The sequence below is a fragment of the Homo sapiens genome, chromosome 2 (genome assembly GCF_000001405.40).
Source record: "Homo sapiens chromosome 2, GRCh38.p14 Primary Assembly".
NCBI lineage: Eukaryota > Metazoa > Chordata > Mammalia > Primates > Hominidae > Homo > Homo sapiens.
The window spans coordinates 208191918-208202375 of NC_000002.12; the positions used below are offsets into that span (position 1 = coordinate 208191918).

General features: G+C 43.2%; 1 annotated feature.

The window, feature by feature from the left end:
* Nucleotides 6891-7567: an enhancer, noted in NCBI's record as "H3K4me1 hESC enhancer chr2:209063532-209064208 (GRCh37/hg19 assembly coordinates)". NCBI's record gives its function as "activates a minimal SCP1, AML or CMV promoter by ChIP-STARR-seq in naive H9 embryonic stem cells {active_cell/tissue: H9 hESC(naive)}" and the evidence as "EXISTENCE:reporter gene assay evidence [ECO:0000049][PMID:30033119]".

Below are 10458 nucleotides of genomic sequence, written 5' to 3' on the forward strand. Positions count from 1 at the left end.
GCACCCAGACAATTTTTTATTTTTTAATTAATTTTTTTTTTTGTAGCAATGAGGTCTCACTATGTTGCCCTGGCTGGTCTCAAACTCCTGGGCTCAAATGATCCATCTGCCTTGGCCTCCCAAAGTGCTGGGATGACAGGCATAAGCCACCACGCCCAGCCATTTTCAATTTATTCTAATATTTTGTTTATAATTAAAACTAAACTGTAGGCTGGGTGTGGTAGCTCATGCCTGTCATCCCAGCACTTTAGGAAGCTGAGGTGGGTAGATTGCCTGAGCCTAAGAGTTCAAGATCAGACTGAGCAACATGGCAAAATCCTGTCTCTACAAAAAATGATAAAAACTAGCTGGGCATTGTGGTGTGTCCCTACAGTCCAAGCTACTCAGCAGGCTGAGGTGGGGGGATTGCTTGAACCCAGGAGGCTGAGGCTGTAGTAAGCTGTGATTACACCCCTCCACTCCAGCCTGGGTGAAAGAGTGAGGCCCTGTCTCAAAAACAAACAAACAAACAAACAAACAAACAAACAAACCAAAAAAACAGAAAATAAACTGAGTTATTTTTCTTTTTGACTCCCTATTGTTGATACCTCATTATAAGGTGTTCCACAATTTCTTGATCAAGAGAGCTTTTCACCCAAAGGCAACCTTGGAGAACTTCAACCTTGACCTTGCTAGGCTTGTTCATCCCTGTTAACTCCCTTACCCCTGCCCCCAGCTGAGGCTGCTGCAGCTGGTCCAACTCAGCCAAGTGTTCATCGATCCCAATAGTCACCTTCCCAGCTTCAGTCCTTGAAGGCAAATAGAAGGTCCACGTGTGCAGTGGTCTATCAGGGGCTGGTCATTGCTAAGACTCACATTGATGGAGGTAGTGATGGCAGTGTGCCTATCCCGATGCCATGCCAGTGAGTCAGGAGTTGGGCAGGACTGGTTTTACAAGGTACAGATCACAAAGACCCGGCTGATAAAATGATATGTAGTAAAGAAGCCAGTCAAAACCCGCCAAAACCAGATGGCGATGAAAATGACCTCTAGTTGTCCTCACTGCTCATTATATGCTCATTATAATATATTAATATGCTAAAAGATACTCCCACCAGCACCGTGAAAGTTTACAAATGTCATGGCAACGCCTGGAAGTTACCCTATATGGTCTGAAAGCAGGAGGAATTCCCTCAGTTCCAGGAATTGCCCACCCCTTTCCCAAAAAACTAATGAATAATCCATCCCTTGTTTAGCATATGATTTTTAAAAAACATAAAAATAAACATAAAAAACCCACAAAAACATAAAACATAAAAAAACATAAAAATAGCCAACCAGCAGCTCTGCCTATGGAGTAGCCACCCTTTTATTCCTTTACTTTCACTTTACTCTGTTGGCTTGCTCTTGAATTCCTTAATGTGCGAAGGCAAATATCACAGGGCCTTTGGTGTTCAGCCTGTGACATCCTTTCTGACAACAAATGAAGGGACAATGGAGACCTCCCCCTGAAACCCAGACTAAAACCAATTGGCACCATTCAGACCTGATGGGTGGGTGAGTCTCCCTTTGTCCAATTTCAACTTGCTACTTTTTTTTCCCCTTTGATTTTGGCTCCTCTGTCCTTTCCTATGTTCGTTATTTTAGACAGGTGGGGAAGTGGCTGTGAGACCTCTGGCTTGGTAGCCTGATTGCAGTCTTCTGTTGTGTGGGTGCCCCAGACATGCAGCATGCCTGGCAAGTCATGTCCTTTGTAACCCACCTTGTCATCCCTTCTCTTGAACCCAAAAGTCAAAGAGATCAGATAATGCAATGCAAAACAGAGCAAAGCCTTAGATTTTGAGAGGAATCTATCTACTTAGAATTCCTGGGGTTCCGGCCCAGCGCCGTGCCTCACGCCTGTAATCCCAGCACTTTGGCGGGCGGATCACGAGGTCAGGAGATCGTGACCATCCTGGCGAACACGGTGAAACCCCGTCTCTACTAAAAATACAAAAAATTAGCCAGGCATGGTGGCGGGTGCCTGTAGTCCCAGCTACTCAGGAGGCTGGGGCAGGAGAATGGCGTGAACCCGGGAGGCGGAGCTTGCAGTGAGCCGAGATTCCGCCAAAATTGTGCCACTGCACTCCAGCCTGGGCGACAGAGCAAGACTCTGTCTCAAGAAAAAAAAAAAAAAAATTCCTGGGGTTCCATGAGGAAAACAGAATTTTTTCCCAAAACGGAGTCTGTGGCATGCTTTCAAATATAAACAGACTGCTTTAAGGAGTCAAAGTTGACTTATAGAGCCAATAAAAGCCCCTTGGGAAAACTGGCCTCACACCTTGTCTATGCAGTCCCTGTACAGGGTTCTTGACTTGTGGTAAGTAAAAATGTCACTTTCTGACAGGCCCAGGAGCCCCAAGTTACCTTGGGACCTCGAGAGGAGAGGAATTCACCCAACTCATAAAGGCGTTTGTTGGCACAGATAAATCTGTGGCTGGGCTCAAGACCTTAAAAAACCTAATCTGAGATTATTTATGTAACAAAGTTCCATCAAAGCCTATTTACAAAGAGCCTATATGGCAGATAATTATTCTTGCTGCCCTTTATGCAAAAATCAGGCAAAATATAATAAGACTAAAACTTATTTTGCAAACAAATTGGTCCTACCACGATTTATCTTTTATAAAAATGAGAGACTTCAGAGAGAAAAAATTATACTACAAAAAACTATAGTACACGTGTTGTTAGATTCTAGTCTTGACCATTGTTTTTTGGGTTTTTATTATTGTTCAAAATTTGGACTGACTCCTAAATTCTTTCTGGGTTACAAGTCCCCAAACTGTTTTCAAATTTTTCTTCCATTTTTCTGAGTAAATTCAAAATCACTACTACCTTCCTCCTGAGGCCCTGCAAGCTAAAGCTTATTCCTTGTGATATAGATGAGAAAAATGTGTGAGGTTGCCGCTGCCTTCCTGCTCTATAACTAAAGATGCTTTGAGTCTAACCCCTGGATAGACTGTGCCCAAAATTAACCTTTGTTTTTCTTCTGTTCTCATAAAAATGCCTCTTACTAAAAATCTGTTTGTTTTTATTTGATTTTTAGAAATAATTATTATTTGTTATATTCAACAGGGGTTCATCCTGTTAAAGTTTATGTCTTCCAAGTTATAACAGTTCCAGACAAAAATAGCTGGCCTGAGGGTTCCAGCCTGTGCCACTGCAGAAAATATTGAGTTCCTATATATCATTAGATCGGATGGTGAGAGCTTTCTATGCCTCCAGAAGGAGGGCAGGTAGGGACGATGGCCCCTGTTCAGCATGAAGCAGTTATGGAAGATGAGACCTTTATCTTCCTGCAACCCTTTAACATTAAAAAGGAGTATAAGATCTCTGAATGGGGGAGGAGATAGGAGTTTGGCAGGACTGGTTTTGCAAAGCACAGGTCACAAAGACTCCACTTATGAAATGAGATGTGGTAAAACCGTACAAAAATTATTAGCCGAGTGTGGTGGCCTGTAGTCCCACCTACTCGGGAGGCTGAGGCAGGAGAATTGCTTGAACCCGGGAGGCAGAGTTTGCAGAGAGCCGACATCATGCCACTGTACTCCAGCCTGGATAACAGAACAAGACTCCATCTCAAAAAAAAAAAAAAAAAAAACAATCAAAACTGCAAAAATGATCTCTGGTCATCCTCACTTCTCCTTATACCCTAATTATAATACATTAGCATGCTAAAAGACACTCCCACCAGTGCCATGACAGTTAACAAATGCCATGGCAACATCTGGAAGTCATCCTATATGGTCTGAACGTGGGAGGAGCCCTCAGTTCCAGAAATTGCTCACCCCATTCCTGGAAAACTCATGAATAATCCATCCCTTGTTTAGCATATGATCAAGAAATAACTATAAAAATAGCCATCAGGGCTGCTCTGCCTATGGAGTAGCCACCCCTTTATTACTTTGCTGTCTTCATAAACTTGCTTTTGTTTTACTCTTCGCTCACTCTTGAATTCCTTCCTATGCAAAACCAAGGACCTACGTGGCCTCACAGGCTGAACCAGGACCACCATCAGGACATGGAGAATGGCCCTCAGGCTGGGGCCATGCTGCTTTCTCTTCGCATTCCCCATGGAGGACACGTCAAGGGTTGGAAGAGCCCAGGAAAACGAGGGCCCTCCAGCTAGGCTGCTTTAGCTTTGGGGGAAATTCACGTCTTCTTATACCTTTTATTCTCAAGACATTAAAATCAAAACAAATAACACAACAGCAAAGAACACTTTTATGCCATAGTTAGGAAATTCTCAGTTCTCATAGCGTATCCTTGAGGCAGATATAAAAATAATATCCATGTTTTATACAGATGGGACAGAGGAGGAATACCTAGCCAGAGAAAGACCATTTCTGCAATTCTGACTTCCCAAGTACTGCATCTTCATCAGACTTCAATGTCCCTTTCAAAGTCTTTAAAATTCTTACAATATTATATCTACATATATATTACCTTGATATTGTGGAAATGTCACAGAACATTGCCACTTCCACAGAATATTGATAGGAATTTTTCTTTTTTTTTTTTTTTTTTTTTTTTTTTTGAGACGGAGTCTCGCTCTGTCGCCCAGGCTGGAGTGCAGTGGCGGGATCTCGGCTCACTGCAAGCTCCGCCTCCCGGGTTCACGCCATTCTCCTGCCTCAGCCTCCCAAGTAGCTGGGACTACAGGCGCCCGCCACTACGCCCGGCTAATTTTTTGTATTTTTAGTAGAGACGGGGTTTCACCGTTTTAGCCGGGATGGTCTCGATCTCCTGACCTCGTGATCCGCCCGCCTCGGCCTCCCAAAGTGCTGGGATTACAGGCGTGAGCCACCGCGCCCGGCCAGGAATTTTTCATCTTCACCAAAATTTATATTTAAATTACTGAAAAGTAGCAGTAGTACATGGTAAGTTAATAGAATGATAACTATGTGATTTTGGGTAAGTTACTTCTGCACTTTATTTCTCTCTTCTGTAAAGTGTTGTTAATGAAAATCTACCTTATGGGTTCTCCTAAATATTAGAAATATCATATATATAATGTTGGCTTGGAACATTATAATAAGTCTTTTGCAAATGGTAGTTATTACTATTATAAAGTAGTGTTTGCCTCTTTCTTCATTGTATTTATCCAGCCCTTTTAAAGTGTTCTACTAGTGAATTTCTTTGGAATCTCCTATTTTGATAGTAAGCTCCTGAAGTATAAACATCATATTTTCTTTTTTTTTATTATTTTAATATTTTTTTTTCTAGAGACAAGGTCCCACTATGTTGTCCAGGCTGGCCTCAAACTTCTGGGCTCAAGTGATGCAACCACCTTGGCCTTCCAAAGTACTGGGATTACAGGTGTGAGCCACTGTGCCTGGCTCAAATTTTCTATTTCTTTGTGACCCCCAAATAAGAAGTATTAAAATGTTTTATACATATCATGCATTCGCTAAACATGATCTGACATGGAAAATTTTTTTATGTCCTGAATGTAATAAGAACTCTGAACACATTGCATACTGTAAAGGAGAAAAAGAAATACTATATTTTCCTCATCCATAGCAAGGCTGATGGCCGAGACCTCTCTAACAATGACATATTAACAACAAAAAAAAGCAAACAAATTTATTTAATATAAGTTTTATGTGACATGGGAGTTTTGATAAATGAAGACCCAAAGAAATGGAAAAAATCTGTGTATTTTTATGGATAGTTGTGCAGAAGTATGATTTGAGGACAAAAGGGTATGATCTAATGGTAAAAAACTGGGGGTACTTTAGGAAAGCCTGTTTGTTCTGATTCTTCTTGGCTTCTTTGTGCCTTTATCCCTTTCCTCCAGGGAGAAGGTCATTGAGTGACCTTCCTAGGTTTCATGACCTGCTTCAGGGGAGAAGGGTAGGAGAAGGCCAGAGAGAACTTCCTGCTTCTGCTGTTTTCTCAGATTCCGTAGTTCCATATTTTGGGTGAGCATGTCATGTCCTGAGCGTCAACAGACAACATTTCTGCCTTCTCATTTGTAGAAACTTTCTAGCCCTTATTGGTTGAATAATTGGAGTCTGCAGGAGTTTATCACAATGGGGTTTAGAATTCTCTACCCCAAAACATGGTACCTTGACATATTGAATATTTTAAGACAAAGGAATTTGAGAAAATAGCGGAAGCAGGAAGGTCACTCTCATCTTCCCGCCATCTCTCCTCCCCTGAAGCAGGTCATAAAACCTAGGAAAGATTTTTCTGACTTACTTCTGAAGCAGGTCAAAAGGCCCTCGAGTGAGAGGTGCCCTCTCTATACACGGAGGAAAGGAACATCCTTTTCTCTGAAGACAATGGGTCACAGAAAAGAATCTGAACAAACAGGCCTTGCTAAATTCCCCCATTTTTTGCCATTAGGTTGTACCCCCTTTGCCCAATTATATTTCTCCATGACTGTCTATTCATCAAACATACCATAAAAATATACAAATTTAACTCTTTTTTGGGGTCTTCATTTCCTTATTAAGACTCCCATGTCACGTAAAACTTGTATTAAATACATTTGAATGCTTTTCTCTTGTTAATCTGCTTTTTGTTAGAGGGGCCTCAGCCATGAACCTATGTTGGGCAAAAGAAAAAAAAAAAGATAGCTCTTCTCTTCTGTAACTGGATGGTAGTATCTTTAGCATTTGCATTTGTTGTGGGGGGATGAAACTTTATGCACATATAGTGTACAGTAAACCGGCATATATAAATATAGCATTTTTGCATGAAAAAAAGATGTGATTTAGTAAATTTCTCTGTGAACACCAGAGACCAGACATTCTAGGGTAATGAGGTTATGGCTGTGCTCAAGCTAGGATTTAAGTATGTCTGGGCACCTTTGGGGAAGTCTGCAGGACCAGGGGTTGTGAGATTATCAGAATTCTATTTGCATCCGTGGTTGTCAACATTGGCTGTACTTTAGAATCACTGGAGAAACGTTAAAAACTCCCTGGAACAATTAACTCAGAATATCTGGAAGCAGGACCCAGGCAGCCATAGCCTTTAAATTTCTCCAGGTGCTCTAATACGCAGATAAGGTTGATAACCACGGACACATGTGAAAAGCTGAAGGCATCCCAGGTGGTGCTCCATTATTGCAGTTGCACTGACCTCTAGCTTGGGGAAAAGTTTTCTTCACTTTTTGTTTTTCTTTGAGTCAGGTCTTGCTCTGTAGCTCAGACTGGAGTGCAGTGGTGCGATCATGGCTCACTGTAGCCTTGACCTCTGGCTCAAGGGATCCTCCCACCTCAGCCTCCTAAGTAGCTGGAACTACAGGTGTGCACCACCATGCCTGGCTAATATTTATATTATTTTTTTGTAAAGACAGGGTCTTGCTATGCTGCCCAGGCTGGTCTTGAATTTCTGGTCTCAAGCAATCCTCCCACCTGGGCTTCCCAAAGTGTGAGCCACAGCACCAGCCCTTTCCTTCCTTCCTCCCTTCCTTCCTTCCCTCCCTTCCTCCTTCCTTTCTTTTGGAATGGAGTCTTGCCCTGTTGCCCAGCCTGGAGTACAATGGCGCGATCTTGGCTCACTGCAACCTCTGCCTCCTGGGTTCTCCTGCCTCAGCCTCCTGAGTAGCTGGGATTACAGGTACGTGCCACCATGCCTGGCTAATTTTTTGTATTTTTAGTAGAGATGGCTGTGGGGAAAAGAAAGAGAGATCCGATTGTTACTGTGTCTGTGTAGAAAGAAGTAGACATAGGAGACTCCATTTTGTTCTGTACTAAGAAAAATTCTTCTGCCTTGAGATGCTGTTAATCTGTAACCTTACCCCCAACTCCATGCTCTCTGAAACATGTGCTGTGTCAACTCAGGGTTAAATGGATTAAGGGCGGTGCAAGATGTGCTTTGTTAAACAGACGCTTGAAGGCAGCATGCTCATTAAGAGTCATCACCATTCCCTAATCTCAAGTACCCAGGGACACAAACACTGCGGAAGACCTCAGGGACCTCTGCCTAGGAAAGCCAGGTATTATCCAAGGTTTCTCCCCATGTGATAGTCTGAAATATGGCCTCGTGGGAAGGGAAAGACCTGACCGTCCCCCAGCCCGACACCACCCGTAAAGGGTCTGTGCTGAGGAGGATTAGTATAAGAGGAAGGAACGCCTCTTTGCAGTTGAGACAAGAGGAAGGCATCTGTCTCCTGCCCGTCCCTGGGCAATGGAATGTCTCGGTATAAAACCCGATTATATGTTCCATCTACTGAGATAGGGGAAAACCACCTTAGGGCTGGAGGTGGGACAGGTAGGCAGCAACCTGTGCCCACCTGTCCATTGGCTGGCCATTGTCACACTAAATATGATGCCCAGCACTGTGATAGCCAACTTATTATCAATCTGAAGATGAAGCTACTATATAGATGAGAGCAGAGTCCAAGGAATTCCAGATATGTGTTTTTTTTTTTTTAGATGGAGTCTCGCTCTTGTCACCCAGGCTGGAGTGCAGTGGCACGATCTCGGCTCACTGCAACCTCTGCCTCCTGGGTTCAAGCAATTCTCCTGTCTCAGCTTCCCGAGTAGCTGGGATTATAGATGCCCACCACCACACCCGGCTAATTTTTGTACTTTTAGTAGAGACGGGGTTTTGCCATGTTGGCCAGCGGTCTCCAACTCCTGACCTCAGGTGATCCTCCTGCCTCAGCCTCCCGAAGTGCTGGGATTACAGGCATGAGCCACCATGCCCAGCTCAGATATGTGTTTTTATAAATTTGATTACTTTAAAATATATATATATATATTTATTTTTAAAGCCAGTTGTAGCTGCAGATGGATGGTAACTTTAGCCAAAGACACCCTAAGTGATACACTCTTCTAAATCCAACCTCAAAACTCATCCCAGGATTCTTGGTAGAAGGAACTGCAATAGAAGAGTGAATAAAAACAAAAAGTAATCACCAAGGGACTCTGGGTGGACAATTTGTCCACAGAGTCTTGCTCTGTCACCCAGGCTGGAGTGCAGTGGAGAGATCTCGGCTCACTGCAAGCTCCACCTCCCGGGTTCATGCTATTCTCCTGCCTCAGCCTCCTGAGTAGCTGGGACTACAGGCACCCGCCACCACACCCGGCTATTTTTTTGTATTTTTAGTAGAGACGGGGTTTCACCGTGTTAGCCAGGATGGTCTCGATCTCCCGACCTCGTGATCCACCCGCCTTGGCCTCCCAAAGTGCTGGGATTACAGGCGTGAGCCACTGTGCCCGGCCTCTGGGTGGACAATTTGGCAGCAGTAGGGGTACCACAGTTTCTGCCATGATGGTAGACAATGCCACCAGCTGTGGAGGCAGAAGAGGAAGGCAGACATCAGCAGCTTGGCACCTGGCATCACCAATAGGTGTTATAACAAGCAGACCCTGAGAGGTGCCAGTAGGAGCTCTCTTTGTGATCTTCTCTTGGTGGATGTCAGTGCCGTCTTCCCTGACTCACCATTTGTGGCTCAGGCTGCAACAAAACACATTATTGTAAGACGCTTGGCAACATGTAACTAGCCATTTGCTAGCCGTGGGGTATCAAAGCAATGTGCTAAACATTTCTAAGGTAATCTACACATTGTGTGTAATATTAATAACAGGTTTGTGAAGGATGCAGATCAACTTAGACAATGGGTAGGAAAGGTAGCCCCGTGCTTGCAACAAAATCTTTATTCAATAACTTTAATTCAGGCAGTTCAGCTAATATTAATGTGTGAAAAGGTGTTTCCTGTGGGAAAGAGCTTCCAGAACAAAGAATGTGTACTGAAGATAAAGATAAAATCTTTAATTTCCTAGAGTGCTCTGATGCAAAGCTTCCAGTATTTGCACTAAGAAGACTCTGCCTCCCTCACTCACAGAGGGTCCTGGTGAGCCATTGGGAAACAGACTGCCATTGAAATATCTTAATTAGGGGTGACTTTCCCCCTCAATGCTTATCCTAAGTTCTTGAAAGCAGGATTGTCCTTTTTAAAAAATTAATTATTATTTATTTATTTATGTATTTTTAGACTGAGTCTCCCTCCGTCGCCCAGGCTGGAGTGTGGTTGTGCAATCTCAGCTTATAGCAACTTCCATCTCCTGGATTTAAGTGATTCTCATGCCTCAGCCTCTCAAGTAGCTGGGATTACAGGTGTATGCCACCACATCCAGCTAATTTTTGTATTTTTAGTAGAGACAGGGTTTTGCCATGTTGGCCAGGCTGGTCTTAAACTCCTGACCTCAAGCGATCCACTTGCCTTGGCCTCCCAAAGTGCTGGGATTATAGGCATGAGGCTCCGTGCCTGGCCTGTCCTTTTATTTTTAAAGTAAAACTTGTTCTTAGACAAAAAAAAAAATGGTAACTTTTGAAGCATGACCTTTTATTCTCTCCAATCGGGTTAGCAAATAATTTTCTTAGTTGTTTTGTTACTATTATCGTTGTTTTTAAGGAAGATATTTCCAAGGGTAGCACTTCAGGATGATTTGTCTCCTTGAGTTTGTTGAGAAATAAAAGGTC